This window comes from Homo sapiens, chromosome 11 (assembly GCF_000001405.40).
Source record: "Homo sapiens chromosome 11, GRCh38.p14 Primary Assembly".
Classification (NCBI taxonomy): domain Eukaryota; kingdom Metazoa; phylum Chordata; class Mammalia; order Primates; family Hominidae; genus Homo; species Homo sapiens.
Genome location: NC_000011.10, coordinates 124,940,578 through 124,959,539, shown reverse-complemented (window position 1 = coordinate 124,959,539; position 18,962 = coordinate 124,940,578). Strand labels below are relative to the sequence as shown.

General features: G+C 41.0%; 1 protein-coding gene and 2 long non-coding RNA genes across 16 annotated transcripts in view, besides 1 other annotated feature; 1 reads left to right on the top strand and 2 right to left on the bottom strand.

The window, feature by feature from the left end:
- CCDC15 (coiled-coil domain containing 15) overlaps positions 1-5,338 on the bottom strand; it is an 87,288-nt gene extending 81,950 nt beyond the window's left edge. For 8 of the 12 annotated variants that reach the window (NM_025004.3, XM_017018346.2, XM_017018348.2 and 5 more), the window contains exons 1-3: positions 5,170-5,338; positions 4,631-4,816; positions 276-425 (exon numbers count right to left, since the gene is read on the bottom strand). In NM_025004.3, coding sequence (NP_079280.2) covers positions 276-425; positions 4,631-4,807 — 327 coding nt within the window. In that variant the 5' untranslated portion in view covers positions 4,808-4,816; positions 5,170-5,338. Of the gene's footprint in view, positions 1-275; positions 426-3,038; positions 4,817-5,169 lie in introns of those variants that run through there. The other 4 variants (XM_047427628.1, XM_047427630.1, XM_017018352.2 and 1 more) reach the window with 3 other exon arrangements.
- Positions 5,135-5,678: an enhancer, noted in NCBI's record as "H3K27ac hESC enhancer chr11:124823758-124824301 (GRCh37/hg19 assembly coordinates)". NCBI's record gives its function as "activates a minimal SCP1, AML or CMV promoter by ChIP-STARR-seq in primed H9 embryonic stem cells {active_cell/tissue: H9 hESC(primed)}" and the evidence as "EXISTENCE:reporter gene assay evidence [ECO:0000049][PMID:30033119]".
- On the top strand, positions 5,549-10,348 carry CCDC15-DT (CCDC15 divergent transcript). Of its 3 annotated transcripts, none has more exons than XR_948134.3 (3): positions 5,549-6,058; positions 7,990-8,201; positions 8,981-10,348. It is a non-coding gene; the product is annotated as a CCDC15 divergent transcript (long non-coding RNA). The 3 variants fall into 3 exon arrangements; XR_948133.3 differs by having other exon boundaries at positions 7,990-8,638; XR_948132.3 differs by having other exon boundaries at positions 7,990-8,820.
- The window catches only part of LOC107984406 (uncharacterized), a 51,792-nt gene continuing 48,779 nt past the window's right edge, over positions 15,950-18,962 (bottom strand). Inside the window, exon 2 of the long non-coding RNA XR_001748429.3 lies at positions 15,950-16,140. This is a non-coding gene — a long non-coding RNA (uncharacterized LOC107984406). The remainder of the gene's footprint in view (positions 16,141-18,962) is intronic.

Here is an 18,962-nt window from a genome sequence, read left to right as displayed (position 1 = left end):
TCAATAGCTAGAAGTAGCAAAGCCAAAATTCAAACTCAAGTCTGAACCCAAAATTCTGACATTGCTTTTAACTACTTGGTAAAAGCAAAAAATTGAGTCAGAACACAGGAATAAAACATGGTTTCTCTACAAAAAAAATTTACTGTCTTCACTAGTTAATTAGATTATATTAGGCATGTAATCAAAGGAAAGCAATTCTGTTACTGCCTAATAGCTTATCTCATAACACACATATTTTCCATTCAATCTTTACTCAGGCTCACTTTTGAACTTACTCTTTCATAAGACTTCTGAAGCTGTTGCTTTTTTCTCAACCTAATTTGTTGATTTACTCGGTATTTAACTTGTTTCTGAAAATGTTTCAAAGCTTCTTGTTTTTTTCTTAGCTGTTCCTTTAGTTCTTCTTCAATTAAATATGCTGATGTCTTTAAAGATGAAAGACAGAAAATGAACTTAAATGTTAGCAGTTTTGTCCATTAGGGCTGTTTTAAACACAAAACAGTCAGGATAAGGATACAATCCTGAAAAAAATAATTCCATTCTGTACAAAAAAAAATGGAATGTATGAGTATCAAATCTTAAATTTTTTATTGAATTAGAACTAACGATGTCTTCATTAAATCTTAATGAACCAAATAAAACCTAACACGTTACACATTTTCTAAAATGGAGTAAATAGTCAAGACACACCAGGTTACTTACCACTCACCAAATATGTCCTATTGTTAAAATGTCTTCATATTTGGCATTATGCTCCATTTTTAACCTGGCATGCCCTTCCTTTCATCTCCACCTAGTAAAGGCCTATTCAGTTTTCACAACCATTTAATACCCACTCCCCAGTACCTTCCACAACACTCTCTCTCTAAGCCCTCTTATGCTATAACACCTCTCATTTCACCAATGTTAACTGAGTATAGTACTTCTTGACTCCCCTACTAGATTATGAACTCTTTGAGGACAGGATATGTATTCAATTCTCCTTTATTTCCCCTACGGCATCTAGTACAGAGCCTTCACTATAAGGGTAGTCAATATATATTTATATAATTGCTCAATTCCAAAACATATTCTAAACCAGGGGTGTCCAATATTTTGGCTTCCCTGGGCCATGTTGGAAGAACTGTCACATAAAATACATTAACACTAGTAGCTGATGAGAAAAAAAAAAATCACAAAAAAACTCATAGTGTTAATTAAGAAAATTTATTAATTTACATTGGGTCGCATTCAAAGCCATCCTGGGCCACATGTGGCCCATGGCCGCATGTTGGACAAGCTTGTTCTGAACAATCTGGAACACTTTATCCCATTTGAGTTCTTGATCTGCATTTATCTCCTCTAAGTGCTTTGAATAATAATCATAGTCATCATCATAACAGCACTTATCATTATTATGGATCTATCAGGTGACAAGTATTTTAACTACTTTGTAGCACTCTATCCTCAAAACCACCTTTGGCAGTAGGTATTCTTATCCCTTATGTTACAGATGAGGAAGCTGGAGTTCAGAAAGATTAAGTAATTTTAATATAGCTAACTAGTAGCAGAATTAGAAGTTTCTGACTCCAACAATTATGTTCCTCTCTACACTGCTTTTCTCTTGACTATGTCTCTCTTTCACTAGGAATTTTCAAATTAAATAAAATCATCATCATATCTCGTACCTATTCCTTCTAACTCAGTGATTCCAACTTCTAATTCTGAAGGGTACCTCAGATCATTTTACAGGCTGTCATTAAATTCTCAAAATCAAATGCATTCAAATTTCAATTTAAGTTAAAATTTCCAAGATGTCTATCCCATAAACTACTCTAGTGGAGTGTACAAGTGTCAAAGAACAATTAGGTAAAATAATTCCAACGGAGAGATATATACGTAATGAAGCCTGAACAACTGACCCAGCTTAACTCAAGCCCCAGACAAGTTTAAGCCATTCGGCCTCTTTCTTTTACCTCCATTTTCTCTGCTCCTCTTTTACTCCACAAGATTACAAGCCAGGTCATAAAGAAACTTCCACCTCTGTTCTTAGAGTGCTCATTCTGAAGGAAGTCAGCACCATATAAAAATTCAGACTACCCTGAGATTACCATGCTGTGAGGAAGCCCAAGTTAGTCAAACAGAGAAGCCATGTGAAAAGAGAAACATATCTAACCAGCACCCAGACATTCTAGTCATCCTAGGCCAAGCGTCAGATATGTGAATAAGAAAGCCATCTTGGACATTACAGCCCAGCAGGTGCCACATTACTGGGAGAACTTGACTATTGTCTAGCTCCAGCCAATAGCCGGAAAATAGTCAAGGTGTCTCAGACATGTCCAGTTATTTGAGCCCCAGCTGAGGTCCCAGACACTATGGGGCAGAAACAAGCCATTACCACTGTACCCTGCTCAAATTCCTGTTACATAGTATTATTTGCTTTATACCACTAAGTTCTGGGGTGGTTGGTTACACAGCAAAAGGTAACCAGAACAAATTATAAAATAATGCAATCCCATATATGATGATAGAACAGCAGTGTCTTTTGATGCTAATTTATTAATAATTATTGGGGGGAGGTAGTCTAAAGCTATGACATTTTTAGGAATCCTGATGGCCCCCTGAAATTTTGGGGAGAAAAATGAGTAGAAGTTCCCCTTTAGAACAGACATGATCTAAGGGCCAAGCTTTAGAAGTAACTATTCAGCATTTATTTTGAGCTGACAGAGCTATATCCGTTAATAAGGGTGGATACCCAGACTAGATATGCTAAAGCTATAAGGAGTTCTATTAGATGCTTGATCAAACTCCCTTTGGCTGGAACTGATCAGAAATTTTTAAATCAGGAAAAGGAGATATGTTTATCCATGTTCCAAGACTTTAATATTTTGAGTTAATGTGTGTGAATACGATAGTCAATACTTCTTAACATAGAAAAAGTTTGATGGTGTCAAATTTTAGGCATGTTGACACTACTGATATTATACAGATGTAATTTGAGCAATTACAAAGAGGTGTCAACAACTTAAATACCAAAATATCTTTATACCAAATCTTACCAAGTCTTGTGGGGTGTTTCCTGCATTCATCCCTTCTCATTCCACTCCTTTTTTTTTTCCAGAGATGGGGTCTCACTCTATTGCCCAGGCTAGAGTGCAGTAGTATGATCATAGTTCACTGCAGCCTACAATTCGTGGGCTCAAGCACTTCAATCATCCTTTTTCAAGGCTGTTCTTCTCTATTTCTTACCACTAACAAAGTTTCGATGCTATACTCCATGCTTAAATTATTATAATTATATTCTAATTTATCCCCAGGATCCAATCACTCCCTATCCTTCAAAACCTTTGAAGCAATTCATCTAAAGAAAACACTGGTTGATCATGACATTCACCTGTAAATATTAAACAAAGTCAATCCCTTCTCCAAAATTTCCTAAGGTACTCTACCATCCCTATTTTCCATAATCCTGTCAGCAACCATTCTCCTACTAAGCTTTCCACTCCAATCGATCTAATCTACCCTTAGAATCCTGAACCTTGCTTACTTCTTACTCTCCTCATTCTCCTTAATAGGAGAATCATTCCCTTCCCTTCTCCGATCAAATTCTTCATTACACTTTCCTGGGTCACATCAACCCAACGTCATAGCTTCTTGATTGAGCATTATATTCTTAGAACTTAGATAGAGATACCACCTAGACTCTTAAAATCCTTTTTGGAAATAGGCAGGGTAGGAATAAATCAATGAATATACATACATATGTGCAAACATAAATAAAATGAATATAGTATATTGCATTACTTTAACATTTAAACACATCTCATTTCTCTTCTGAGATCAAGTACACTGAGGGAACATATCTCATCCTTTTTTCATCCATGTTCAGCACCTTGTCTACACATACAGAAGACATTTTGTGCCTTTCATAAATACTTCATGAGTGTCTATATTGATTAGGCAGTATTTAAGATAAAAGTGGGAATGTGATGATAAATGACATTTGTTCTCTACGCTCAAGGAGCTCACACTGCATCAGGAAAAGATATATAAACAATCTACTATAACACAATGTGGTAAGTGCCAAGTTAAATTTGAACAAATAGCTAAGGGGCACAGTTTGGTGAAAGACTATCAGAAACCATGGAATTTCTAGTTAGACTTTCTCAGATTATCAGAGTTCATCTCTTTCTCCTTTATTCTATTACTCCATTTTGCCTGAATCCTCATTACAAAATTTATCATAAACCTTAAGCAACCAATTAATGTTACTTGAAGTATGCCAACTATCATCCATACTAAGTTGCAGTGTCTGGAAGATGTAGATAGTGCTTATGTCTTGGGCATAACAAGCAATCAAGAGTCTGAAGTAAACTGATATACAGATATATATCTATATAACCTGTTCCATGTAGATTATGCTCTATATATTATAGTAGGTGAGTAATAAATATTTGATTATGCCAACTAAAGCTGCAGTCAAGTTTTGGCAAATACTTGTTCTATAATCCTAATGCAAGAGCATAAACTATTTATGGCAGAATAGAAACAGCATCCTCGGACTGTTCATCTTTAAGCACCCAGGATTAGAGAAGGCTAATAAAAAGGGTGGTGGGGAACCCCACCATATTTGGATCAAACTGACACTCACATATGCTGGGATTTCCGAACTACCTGGTGAGGCAGGTTCCACCCATGCCCCAACTGGTACTATAGCCTCGTTCCTCTCAGCCAGCACTGCCAACACGTCCTTGCTCTTCAGGGGGTTTAAAGCCAGGGGCAACCTTGAGGTATTTCGAGGTTTCTTTCGGGCCATACTTCCCAGCATCTGTGACTCCTGATTAGGAGAAAGAAAAAGCTTAAAATCTTCAAATGACTGCATTAAAAGTTCAACCTCCTAACACATGAGCCACAGGCCCGTGAAAAGGAGAGAAGCCCTGGAGGCAGAAGCCTGGCATGAAGTGGAAACACACGGATTCTAGAGAAAAAGGAAGAAAAGAAGGGAAGAGAAATGGGAAGAAATAAAGAGGCAAAGAAAGGTTTTTAAGTTGCCTTCTAGAAGAAATGGCGATGAGAGGGAAGAGAAAGGATGGGAATGAGAGAACGAAGACTGTCCTCAGCTGTGGGCGCAGCGAGGCGGGAAGGGAGGAATGACAGCTGCAACCCGGAGAAAGAGGGAGGGGCGGGGACCTGTGTCTGCAGCCGAGAGTCCCAATAATCGGTATAGGTTATGGGAAGACGCGCTGAACGGCTGGGAGCCTCGGGCCAGATAAAAGCCTGCTTCTGAGGCCCCGAGGCCTGCTCCGGCTGAGATGGCACTGGCCAGGAATCGGCCCGCAGCTCGCCACAGACTCAGTCTACTCGGAGTACTAAGGTAACCGCCTCAAGTAGACCGCCACTTTGCGGTGGGCTGCTCCGTCCCGCCCATCCGTAGCCTTATGCCCGCCCTTTCCGGAGCCCGCGTCCCCTCCCGGAGCTGGGAAGGCGTGAGAGGTGGAGTTTCGAGCGCCCGAGGTATCGTCATTTCCTCTTCCTGTCCGGCTGAGGGGGCGGGGACGTGTGGGTAAGCGGAGTCGCTGGGTAATGCGCCATGTGAGGCGCGGTGGGACTGTCGTTCCTGGACCAACGCCGAGACTTCCTAAATCCCTCCGGAAAGGGATGCGTTGGGCCTGTGATCTGGCGACTAGGAGGGTCAGGAGTCCCAGTAGAGGGAATCACGGGAAAAGAATGAAAGAGGGAGGCGAGCCTGGCACGGCTTCCTGGAGAAACAAACTAAGCTAACAAATTTTTCGGATCCTTTGTGCAGCTAATTTTACAGTACTGTTTCATACATCTTATTATATTTGGACATCACGGCCTGTTGAGTGGTCTCCCTCTCTGCTGCAAGCTCTGCTGTAATCCAGAGACACTCAATTATCTCTGTAGGATAATTTATTCATTCGATTAACATACATTACTACTAACTTTTTATAAACCAGTACTGTTCCAAGCACCGGAGATACATAGCTATGAACGAAACAAATATCCCTGCTCAGGGAATTCACAATAGAGTGAGGGGAAATAAGCGAATAAACAATGAGTAAGTAAATGTGTGTGATGTGGAGTAAAAGCAAAGAAAGCGGATAGGGAGTGTGGTGGGCAGGGTGGGGATTGGAGGGATGAAATATTAGAACGTCCAGAGAAGCTGCACTGAGATACTTTTCAGCAAAGACTTAAATGAGTTAATGGAAGAAGCCACTGTGCTCTTCAACGGAGGCTTTATAAACATGTTCCAGATATAACAGCAAGTATAAACGCCCCAAGGTGGAAGCATTGCCTGGTTGAGAAAAAGTCAGGAGGATAGTGTGACTGGAGCAGAGGGAGAGTGGAAGAATGCTGAGACAGTAGGTCAAGCAGGCAATCCGATCAAACATCGTAAGCCACCATAGGTGTTGAGATGGGGAGCCACTGGAGCAAGGTTTGGAGCAAAGGAACACCATAATGTGACAAAATTAAAAAAATAATAATTCCGAATGCTGTAGTGAGAATAGACTGTAAAGAAGACCAATTAGGTGGCTATTGCAATAATTCAGTTAAGGGATTGTGATGTCTTGGATCAAGGAGGTAGTGGTGGAGATGATGATAAGTGGTTGGATTCTGTATCTATTTGGGAGGCAAAACTTTCAGGATCTGTTGAAGGTTTGGATATGGATTGTGTGAGGGAGAGATGTCAAGGAAAACTAGGGGTTTCATCCTGAGCAGCTGTCAGGATGAAATTACTATTTACTGAGATAGTGAAGATGGTGGAAGGAGTAGATTTGGAAAGGGGAAGATCAGGAGTTCAGTTTGGGGCAGATAAAGTTTTATCTAATCAACATCCGAGAAGATAGTATGAGAAAAAGTGTCTGGAGCTCAGAGAAGGGTTCTGGGCTACAAATATAAATCTAAGAGTCGTTAGCCTGTAGATTTAAAGCCATGAGACTGGATGGAGTCATCAAGGGGTTGAATATAGACAGATAAAAGAATAAATCCTAAAACAGCCCCAGGGTATGTCAGTATTACAGAGGCTGAGAAAAAGAGGAGGAGAATGCTAAGAGATTGAGAAGGATTAATCAGTAAACCAAGGAAGAAAACTATGAGGGTGTGATACCTTGAAAGCCAGGTGAAAAAGAAATGTTCCATTGAGGGCAGACAATCTGTGTTAAATCCTACTGACAGATCAAATAAGGTAAGGACTGAAAATTGACTATTGGATTTGACCATGTGGAAGTGATTGATAACTTTTAAAAGAGCAGTGTCTTTAGAGTAGTTGGAGAGCAAAAGCCTGATGGGCTAGGCAAGAAAGAGTAGGAGAAGGAATTGGAGACAGCAATTTTAGACAATTCTTTCCATGAATTTTGTTGTGAAGGGACACAGCGAAAGAGGTGGCTGAACGTAGAGGTAGGATCATTGGAGAGTTCTTTAAGATCATAGCATATATTTGTTATTGATGGAAATTAACCAATAGACAGGAGAAAACTAATGATGCGGGAGAGATATGGGAGAATTTAGGGATCTACAGTCATGTGTCACTTAAAGATGGGGATACATTTTGATAAATGTTAGGTGATTTTGTCTTTGTGCAAACCTCATAGAGGAAATGGAATTTAGTGAACAAGTGGAGGGATTGGCCTTAGATAGCAGGAGGTATGGTTAATTATAATAATAGCAGAAAAGTTAGAATACACAGTAAACTGATAATTAGGTAATGTGGTGGCAGGAGCTTATGGAAATTCTCTTCTGATTACTCTGTTTTCTCTGTAAAATAGTATTGTAGCCAACCTCCAAGATGGCCCCTAATGATCCCCACCTCTTGGTGTTCACACCTTTGTGTAGTCCCCTCCCACATTGTACCTAGGTTGGACTGTATGACCAACAGAATATGGCAGAAGGGATGGTATATTACTACAGAGGTTAGGTTATAAGAGATATGCTCACATGGGCTCGCTCACTCTCTCTCCCTCCCTCCTTCCCTCCCTCCCTCCCTCTCAGATCTCTTGTTCTGAGGGAAGCCATGTACATCATTAGCAGTTCTATAAAGAGGATCACATGGCAAGAAACTGAAACATTCTGCCAGCTGCCCTGTGAAAGAACTTGGAAGTAGACCCTCCAGCCCTAATCAAGTCTTCAGAGACTGTACTCAGCCAACAATTGACTGCAACCTCATAAGAGACCCTGAGCCAGACCGCCCAACGAGAAACTGTGTGAGATAATGTTTGTTGTATTAAGATGCTAAATTTGAGGGTCATTTGTTATACAATGAGAGAAGTAGGAGGTAAGGGACTATGAAAAGTTGGTAGAGTCAAGAAGTTGTAGGTTCCTGTGGTGGTCTAAAGTTTGTTAGAACAGGATACTCAAAAGAATGTGCTAAGATAAGAGGTGGTCTGAGAGTAGGCTGCTTGGAGCTGAGTGTATGCAGAGGTTGTGGTTATTGGTGCTGTCAAAGTCTATGGTATGACCAAAGGAGGGAAAGCTAAGGTGGGTTAAAGAACAAGATCACTGGAGAAGAGGTCATAGAAACCAAACACCAGAGCATTGATTGGATGATCCATGAGGATACTGAAATCACCAAAAAATATAACAAGAATGATGTTGGAGAAAGCCAGAAGCAACAATCTTGAAAAGGCTTGGAGGTTGGTGGGTAAGTATAGCTTGGAAACCCAAGCATGGTATATTCTGGTGACATGAGGTTCAAAGTTGGAGGTGAGGTTAAGAAAAAGGGAGGATGTGGTTTAGCAAAAGCACTGAGTAACTGAATAGCAAGAAGGAAACCCATCCCACCTCCACCCAGAGGGGCAAGGAACAGAAAACAGCTACTATTAGGTGAGTGCAAAAGTTATTGTGGTTTTTCATTGTTGGAATTTGCCATTTGATGTTGGAATACATGCTTGAATAAATGTGGTTATGTTATACATCAGTTTAATGGGCATTTCTCACTTTTATTTTTTTGCTAATGACTTCTTGCTGTTTATGTTTATTTTAGACTATGGAAATTATGTTAGACAAAAAACAAATGCAAGCAGTTTTCTTATTCGAGTTCAAAATGGGCTGCAAAGCAGCAGAGACAACTTGCAACATCAAGAGTGCATTTGGCCCAGGAACTGCTAATGAACGTACAGTGCAGTGGTGGTTCAAGAAGTTTTGCAAAGGATGGCCAGGCGCAGCAGCTCACACCTATAATCCCAGCACTTTGGGAGGCCAAGGCATCCGGATCACTTGAAGTCAGGAGTTCGAGGCCAGCCAGGCCAACATGGTGAAACCCCATCTCTACTAAAAATAAAAAAATTAGCTGGGCATGGTGGCATGCACCTGTAATCCCAGCTACTCGGGAGGCTGAGGTGGGAGAAGCGCTTGAACCCAGGAGGCAGAGGTTGCAGTGAGCTGAGATTGTGCCACTGCACTCCAGTGACAGAACAAGACTCCGTCTCAATTTAAAAAGAAAGAAAGAAAGAAAGAAAGTTTTGCAAAGGAGCTGAGAGCCTTGAAGATGATGAGCATAGTGACCGGCCATGGGAAGTTGACAATGACCAATTGAGAGCAATCATTGAAGCTGATCCTCTTATAGCTACATGAGAAGTTGCCTAAGAACTCAATGTTGACCATTCTATCGTCACTCAGCATTTGAAGCAAATTGGAAAGGTAAAAAAGCTCGATAAGTGGATGCCTCATGAGCCAACTGAAAATAAAAAAAATATATCGTTTTGAAGTGTTGTCTTCTCTTGTTCTACACAACAATGAACCATTTCTCGATTGGATTGAGATGTGCTATGAAAAGTAGATTTTATACAACAGCTGGCAATGACCAGCTCAATGGTTGGGCCCAGAAGAAGCTCCACAGCACTTCCCAAAGCACCAAAAACAGGTCATGGTCACCGTTTGGTGGTCTGCTGCCAGTCTGATCCACTACGGCTTTCCGAATCCCAGTGAAACCATTACATCTGAGAAGTATGCTTAGCAAATCAATGAGGCACTGAAAAGTGCAACACCTGCAGCTGACAGTGGTCAACAGAAAGGACCCAATTCTTCTCCACAGCAACTACAATGCCCGACTGCATGTCGCACAACCAACCCTTCAAAAGTTGAACAAATTGATCTATGAAGTTTTGCCTCATCCACCATATTCATCTGACCTGTGGCCAACCAACTACCACTTCTTCAAGCATCTCAACAACTTTTTGCAGAGAAAACACTTCTACAACCAGCAGGATGCAGAAAATACTTTTTAAGAGTTTGGCGAATCTGGAAGCACAGCTTCTTACACTACAGGAATAAACGAACTTATTTCTCATTGGCAAAAAGGTGTTGATTGTAATGGTTCCTATTTTGATTAATAAAAATATATCTGAGCCTAGTTATAATCACTTAAAATTCATGGTCCAAAACCACAATTACTTTTTTTTTTATTATACTTTAAGTTCTGGGATACGCATGCAGAACATGCAGGTTTGTTACATAGGTATACATGTGCCATAGTGGTTTGCTGCACCCATCAACCTGTCATCAGTCTATCTTTTTTGTTAATCTTTGCAAAAAACCAGCTCCTGGATTCCTTGATTTTTTGAAGAGTTTTTCCTGTCTCTATCTCCTTCAGTTCTGCTCTTATCTTAGTTATTTCTTGTTTTCTGCTATTTGCTCTTGCTTCTGTAGCTCTTTTCATTGTGATGTTAGGGTGTCAATTTTACATCTTTCCCACTTTCTCCTGTGGGCATTTAAGTGCTATAAATTTCCCTCTAAACACGGCTTTAGCTGTGTCCCAGAGATTCTGGTACATTGTGTCTTTGTTCTCATTGGTTTCAAATAACTTATTTATTAATGTCTTAATTTCATTATTTACCCAGTAGTCATTCAGGAGCAGGTTGTTCAGTTTCCATGTAGTGCGGTTTTGAGTGAATTTCTTAATCCTGAGTTCTAATTTGATTGTACCATGGTCTGAAAGACTGTTATGATTTCCGTTCTTTTGCATTTGCTGAGGAGTGTTTTGCTTCCAATTATGTGGTCAATTTTAGAATAAGTGCGATGTGGTGCTGAGAAGAATGTATATTCTGTTGATTTGGGGTGGAGAGTTCTGTAGATGTTTGTTAGGTGTGCTTGATCCAGAGCTGAGTTCAAGTCCTGAATATCCTTGTTAATTTTCTGTCTCGTTGATCTGTCTGATATTGACAATGGAGTGTTACAGTCTCCCACTATTATTGTGTGGGAGTCTAAGTCTCTTTGTAGGTCTCTAAGAACTTGCTTTATGAATCTGGGTGCTCCTGTATTGGGTGCATATATATTTAGGATATTTAGCTCTTTTTGGTGTATTGATCCCTTTACCATTATGTAATACTCTTCTTTGTCTCTTTTGATCTTTGTTGGTTTAAAGTCTGTTTTATCAGAGACTAGGATTGCAACTCCTGCTTTTTTTTTGCTTTCCATTTGCTTGGTAAATATTCCCCTATTCCTTTATTTTGAGCCTATGTGTGTCTTTGTACATGAGATGGGTCTCCTGAGTACAGCACACTGATGGGTCTTGACTCTTTATCCAATTTGCCAGTCTGTATCTTTCAGTGGGGGCATTTAGCCCATTTATATTTAAGGTTAGTATTGTATGTGTGAATTTGATCCTGTCAAATTATGACGCTAGCTGGTTATTTTGCCCATTAGTTGATGCAGTTTCTTCACAGTGTTCATGGTCTTTACAATTTGGTATGTTTTTGCAGTGGCTGGTACCAAAACCCCAATTACTTTTGCACCAACCTAATACTTGAGAAGGCAACAGAGAGGTTGAATTGCACACCTCCATACACAGACACATACTCACACACCAACACTTGGGAAGAAGTGTTGTTAGGTATCTCCTTGCTTTCTTCAACCCACCACCTCAAGGTCTGTGCCTCCCACTAGCACCTGGGCCAGTGGTTTCATAATAATCTACATTCTTTTTTTTTTTTTGAGACAGAGTCTTGCTCTGTCACCCAGGCTGGAGTGCAGTGGTGCAATCTTGGCTCACTGCAACCTCCACCTCCCGAGTTCAAGCGATTCTCCTGCCTCAGCCTCTCCAGTAGCTGGGATTACAGGCATCTGCCACCATGCCCAGCTAATTTTTGTATTTTCAGTAGAGATGGGGTTTCACCATGTTGGCCAGGCTGGTCTTGAACTCCTGACCTCAGGTCATCTGCCTGCCTCAGCCTCCCAAAGTGCTGGGATTACAACTGTGAGCCACCACACCCAGCCAATAATCTACATTCTTGATATGTCCAGAGAATTCACATCTAAGGCCCTGTTCCCATTTTCTGACCTCTTCAGGAATGCTTATATTCTATATAACCAGAGTTGGTTTCTCAGCAAGGAAACTGTTTGCTTAGAAATGTCTACCTTCTTCAGGAACTTAAAAGAATGGATATTGCTGGCACCAAAGTGTTGAGGCCCTGCTCCAGAGCACTCCTCATCGGAGTTGGATATAATCCCTTTTCTGTGTCTGGGGGATCCCTGGACATGTCTGCACAAAGCCCCGAGTCACTGGGTCCTTGGCAGCAGTCCACCCCACACAGAACTGATTGTTTCATGAGCATGAGGGAGCAATTTGCATTTTTGGTCACTACTTTCCTATTTGTTGCTGGCTGACCCACACCTGTAACAAATTAGAAAACTTGGTCACATGTCAGTTCTCAGGGCATAGCCTAAGGAGAACATCTATAGAAGTGAGAAACCTGCCTATCTCTACTCTCAGGGGAACTGGATTTTGGGGAATGAAGCCTCAGGCAGCTGAGTCATGGCCACTTTCAGCCTGTCTCCCAAGTTTCAGCAGGGTGTTCCAAGGCTAACTGATATTCTGGGCTATTTCCTGAAAATGGACCATAGCACTGTCCTTTTTCTTCCTCCTCCTTATCCACCTCTCAAAATAACCTTTCTAACTAGGATAACTAGAGAGTCCTTCTGCTTGCCTGTGCAGACCAGGTTTCTGCAGTAGCATTTCACTGTAAATGGCACCAATAGCAGATTGCTGCAGTTAAGCCCAGTTTTCTCAATAGCATCTGCTGTACTACTTATTGCAAAAGATTCTCTAGTTTTACCATGGATGCAGAAGTCTTTTTCTCCTTACTCTTGGTGTGTGATTAAAAGAAAATTAACAGGGATTTCAGCATCTCTCTACATTACCAAGTATTCATCTAGGAAGTTGAGAGATGCACTATCCAGATCTTCCAAGGAAGGGCTTTTTGGCTGTCTACTCCCTCCACGACAGAGCGAGACTCTATCTTAGAAATAAATAAATAAATAAATAAGTCCTTCTTTCTGTTCCCTGTTGACACTGTTGAGCCTCTGAATTATCTCAATGCTACCCCATCTCTAGTCTTTCCAAATACATAAGCCAATAAAGTTCTTTATTATTAATGCCAATTTACATTAGGTTTTATATTATTTGTAACGTAGACCATAGACAAGCTCTGAGATAAGTCCATTGGTAAATATTAGAGACTAAAAGAGACGAGCAGAATGAGTCAGAGCTACCTACAAAAATTGGTTCCTGGAGCGGCCTCAAAACTGAGCCCTTCAATTCCAGATCCAGGTCTTATGTATTCCTGCAATATGCCTCTCCTCTGATGGTTGATGGTACTTCACTGGGATATCTATTCTTTGAAGCCAAAGAAGCTTGACTAAGGTAGGAGACTTTTCCTTTTTTTTTGAGACAAATTCTCACTCTGTCGCACAGGCTGGAGTGCAGTGATGCGATCTCGGCTCACTGCAACCTCTGCCTCCCAGGTTCAAGAGATTCTTCCACCTCAGCCTCCCGAGTAGCTGGGATTACAGGCATGTACCACCACACCCAGCTAATTTTTTGTATTTAGTAGAGTCAGGGTTTCGCCATGTTGGTCAGGCGAGACTTTTACTTTAAAGCTAGTTTTAGCCAAAATTATTTTATCTATCCTTGTTACTTATATTATTCACTCTATGCTTGATTTTAAAAAAAAATCTCTTGAAGTATAAAAATTGTAATCATTAAAGATACTTAAAAAATATGTTGCAGGCTCTAAAAGCAACTTTTAAAAAGGAATTTAAAAAATGTAACCCTTAAAAGGTGTAAGACATGAGGCCTTAAAAAAGAAAATAAGAGGAAAAAGTTCTGGAGAAGAGAGTGTCATGGCTGCACAGCAACGTGAATGTAGTAAATCCCACTGAAATGGACACCTTAAAAAGTTAAAATGATAAACTGTATATTTTATATATTTTACCACAATAAAAATAAATGGAAATAGATTTTATTTTAAAAAAAGCAGTAAGGCTTTCTAGATAACTATTTGGAGAAAGCCAAGTTATTCATTTGTGTGTGTTCAGCTATGATTATTTAAATTATCTACTATTAATAGTCACATTCTCTATATCCCAAATCTTTGGGGATAGCATATTACAGTGGAGAAAGGGGTTTTAGAGCTAAACTTGGGTTTATGTTCCAGTTCTGCAATTTACTATCTGTGGTCAAGTCACATTATCCAAGTCTTTATTTCTAGATATGTAACATATGTAATAACAATTGACCCTTGAGGGTTTGTTTGTGTTTTGTGAGAAGTAATGTTACATATGTAAAATATATCATGCATAATAGACTTTCAGTAAATGCTTGCTAACTTTTTTTTAGGAAGCAAGATAGAGTCATAAAACCTTAGAAGATTTTGATTTGTCTTCCCAGCATCCCTTCTCCCGCTTTTTCTAGTAATGGCCCCACCTGTGACTGTGGGGTTAAGTACATGGCCCAGCCTGGGATAGTGTTCTAGTCTCCTTGCTACAGTGATTGATCCAGAGCTGTGCATGTGACCTAAGCCATGGCCTTTTGCCAAGATTATTTTTTAACTAGTTCCATCAAGAGTCTTCTTCTCCTGCCCGCATGACAAGCTGCACTGTCCAATATGTTAACCACTAGATACATGTGTTAAGTTTAATTACAATTAAATGAAATTTATAATGTATTTCCTCAGTCCCACTAGCCACACGGGGCTAATTAATGGCTACTATATTTGACAGCACAGATATAAAATACTGTCTTATTTCCAATTATTCCTGCTCCCTGAAAAATTTTGTTACATAATGCAAGAAATTCTTCCCTTTTTGCTTCAGATAGTTCCAGTTGAACTTCAGTCACTTACAATCAAATGATCTTGACAAATCACATTCCTTAGTTTGTCGGGCCACAAACCAGATGCAGAATCTTGGAGGCCTGACTTTGGCATGGATCTTTAAACTAGACAAAGCCAAATCCTGTAAGTACTGCAACAAGGGGAAAATTGGGGGCTGTCTTCAAGACACCTCTGCTGACAACTTAGCTAGGGCCTCCTTTTAAGAAATGTGGTCCCTCCCCATATTGAATCCTGTGTATCACAAATCTATCTTCTTAGTGTCCCTGGCCTAACCTGTGGGGGCCCAGTTTCCCTTGCTTACTAAGCTTTTTTTTTTTTTTATGGTCCTGTCACCTGCCTGATCCCTTTTCTCACATCTTGTCTCAGAACTCTCCTTTTCCTACTTAGTTTTTACTTCTGGGCCTGGCTGAAGGCAACCTCTTTCAGGGGTACAGCATTATGAACACTAGACAGGAAGCACAGCTGAGTCTAAGCTGTGCCAACTTGCAAATGTGAAGGAAACCTCTTTCAGGGGTACAGCATTATGAACATTAGACAGGAAGCACAGTTGAGTCTAGGCTGTGCCAACTTGTAAAATGTGTGACTTGGAGCAGGTTATTTAACCTCTCTAAGCTTCATGATCCTCCTTGAAAAATGGAAAAAAAAATCCCACTGCACAGCGTTGTTAGAAGGCTAAATAAAATAATATTCTAAAAGATAATTTGTAAAGGGCAATGCAAATGTTTTATCAATTATACTTGCTTATAGATGTAGGTGCAGCCTTCCCAGCTATAATATATTTCAGCTCCTAGACAGGGATCCAGGGATGGTGTCGTCTATTACTTTTGAATGTGCCGCCTTCCTCCTCTTCCACATCCCACCACTTTTATTAATGTTTGGAACATAGAGTGTTCTTCACACAGTAGGCAATTATCAGATGCTGGCCAGCTGATTCCCATTTCTGAGCCTCCCTCTTTGGTAGGAGGGTGAACGACGGCAGAGGGCAGCGAATCCTTCCCCTGACACGGTTGGTGGGTGGACACCATCTGAGGATCTAGGAGAAGGGAAACAGTGAAGGCTTTCATGAGTTGGGGTGTAATTTGTGGCTTCCCCATGATTTTTCAACCTGTTTGTATTTAAGCACTGAAGCTTTACAAGAACAGAACTCCAGAGATATTCTCCAGAATGTCCTTGCTGCATCTTAAATAGGTCAGCAAAAGCTGGATCTTTCCAGCCCTTTAATACCAATTAATTTCTCCTCTTTGTTCCTCTGGAGAGTGGCTGAATAGAGCACGTTTAGCAACCATGGACACAAGCCTGAGTCCCTCTCACTTTCTGAGGAGGCCGGAATTCTATTCAAAAATCAAATATTTACTCTCAGTATAAAAGACTTTGATGTTCTCCTGTTTTCAGCAGAGAAATGGGAGCCCCTCCTTGCTGCCCTTCCAAAATTTACCCAGGACCCCATGCCACTCCCAGGATCATGTATTTCTCCCAACAAACTCCACATCTTGTGGAGACACCATATCTCTGCAGAACCCTTTTCATCTGAGTAACTCTTCATGTTTACAGAAATCTGCAGCCAGCAAAACCAATTTCAGGATGAAGGAGCCTTTTGACTCCATTTCTACTTTCTATTTGATGTTTTTCTGAGGCCCCCAGAGTAGGGCCACCTAGGAGAACTTTAGAAAGAGAACGAATAGAAAAGAAAATGTTCTTGGGGAGGGCCATTCCTCACTGTCCAGGCATACAGAAAGCTTGTTTTGTTCCGAAGGGAGCTAGCTAATCTGTCTCTTATTCAGAGCTTGCTGTAGGAGCTGGGCCCTGCCTCCTCTCAACACAAAGCCTCATACAATCTCGTTGTTTCCCAGGCAATGTGCTGCAGCTCTACAAATTCTCTGGCTGGTGTTTGCCTCCTGCGTCCTCTGTCCATTAGGAGAAATCAAACTTATGGTAGAGACAACACCAGTACCATTTGCATATAGATTTATACAACAAAAAATAAAAATGAAAATAACTTCATCACTAGGCCAGGCACAGTGGCTCATACCTGTAATCCCAGCAGTTTGGGAGGCCGAGGTGGGTGGATCACGAGGTCAGGAGTTCAAGACCAGCCTGGCCAAGATGGTGAAACCCTCCAACCTGGGTGACAGAGTGAGACTCCATCTCAAAAAAAAAAAAAAAAAAAGAAAGAAAGAAAGAAAGAAAGAAAGAAAGAAAATACCTTCACCAATACTAGAAGGCCCAAGGAGTGGGGAGAGAGGGCTGCTTCATATCCAGAGCTTAGTCAGGGAGTAGGTCCTGGAGGGTAAAAGCTTATACCAGGAGGAGGAATTCCTACTGGTGCATTAGGGGTTGGTCAAACCCTAAGCTTTTTTGGTGATCTGTCTGGGATCCAATCCAAATTTTGTCACTTAACAGCTATATGACTTCAACAAGCTGCTGACCTCTCAGAAGTTTGTTTTCTTGTTTGTAAGATGGGGTTGGAAGAAATAAATAAGCAAATATCTATATATATAGTGGTTGACACAGTCAAATGCAGAGTAGCACTTTCTCTCTTTCTCTCTCTCTCACACGCACACATATATATATAGAGAGAGAGAGCAGTTAGAAGAGGGAGGTAAGAAGCCTCAGAAATTAATATCTCCTTACCCCTCAGAAGCAGCCCCTTAGCTCATATCTGATGGCAGTTGGTGGATAAATACCCCAGCTCCCTATCCCCTAGGAGGCATATTCTTTACTACCACCTAGGGCTCCCAAGAGGAATAAGCTCTAGCTGCCCACAATAGTGATTTGCTTCATATGCAGCCTTTACTGGCTTCCTTTCCTTCCAGTTTCATTCCCCCAATATACTGCCTGGTTTGGCTGTAATTACCTTTTGGATAAACTATTTGACTTGTTAACTTAGGATCTGCCTCTGAGGAAACCCAAACTAAGATACCAATATTTCTTCAAATTTTTGAAGGCCTAGGTTTTCAGGATCATCCCTGACTCCATACTCCTGCTTCAGCTGAATTAGTCAGTTTAGAGCTCATTTCACAGTTCTACATATGCCGTCCTTTTTCCATACCGTGTTGTACCAAACCTGGAACTCAGTCCTCTGTGTCAGTATAAATGCACACATGCTAATTGTATTCATTTTCTATGCTACATAACACATACTGCACATTTAGCAGCTTAAAACAGCATACATGTTTTATTATTATTTGAGACAGATGCTGGCTGTGTCACCCAGGCTGGAGTGCAATGGTACAATCTCAGCTCACTGGAGCCTCAACCTCCTGGGCTCAAAGGATCCTCTCACCTCAGCCTCCAGAGTCACTGGGACTACAGGTACATACCATCATGCCCAGCTAATTTTTTGTATTTTTTTGTGGAGACGGAGTTTTGCCATGTTACCCAGGCTGGTCTCCAACTCCAGCCATCTGCCTGCCTCAGCCTCCCAAAGTGCTGGGATTACAGGCATGAGCCACCATGCCTGGCAGCATACATTTATTTTCTTACAGTTTCTTTGGGTCAGGAGTTCACGCACAGCTTAGATAGATCTGCTGCTCAGGGTCTCGCACCAGACTTCAATTAAGGTATCAGCTGTCCAAGTTCCTTTCTGGAGCCTGGGGGGGTCCTCTTCCAAACTCATATGGTTGTTGGAAGAATTCAGTTCCTTGTGGTTGTAGCACTGAGGTTCCTTTTTCTTTTTTTTTTTTTTTTTCTTTGCTAGCTGTTGACTGACAGTTGCTCTCAACTCCTGGAGGAGGCCAGCAGTTCCTTGCCACAGGGGCCTCTCATGCCATGGTGGTACACTAGACAATCTCTCTCTGGTCTGTGTCTTCCATATTGTAACCTAATCAAGAGAGTGCCTATCCCATCACCTTTGCC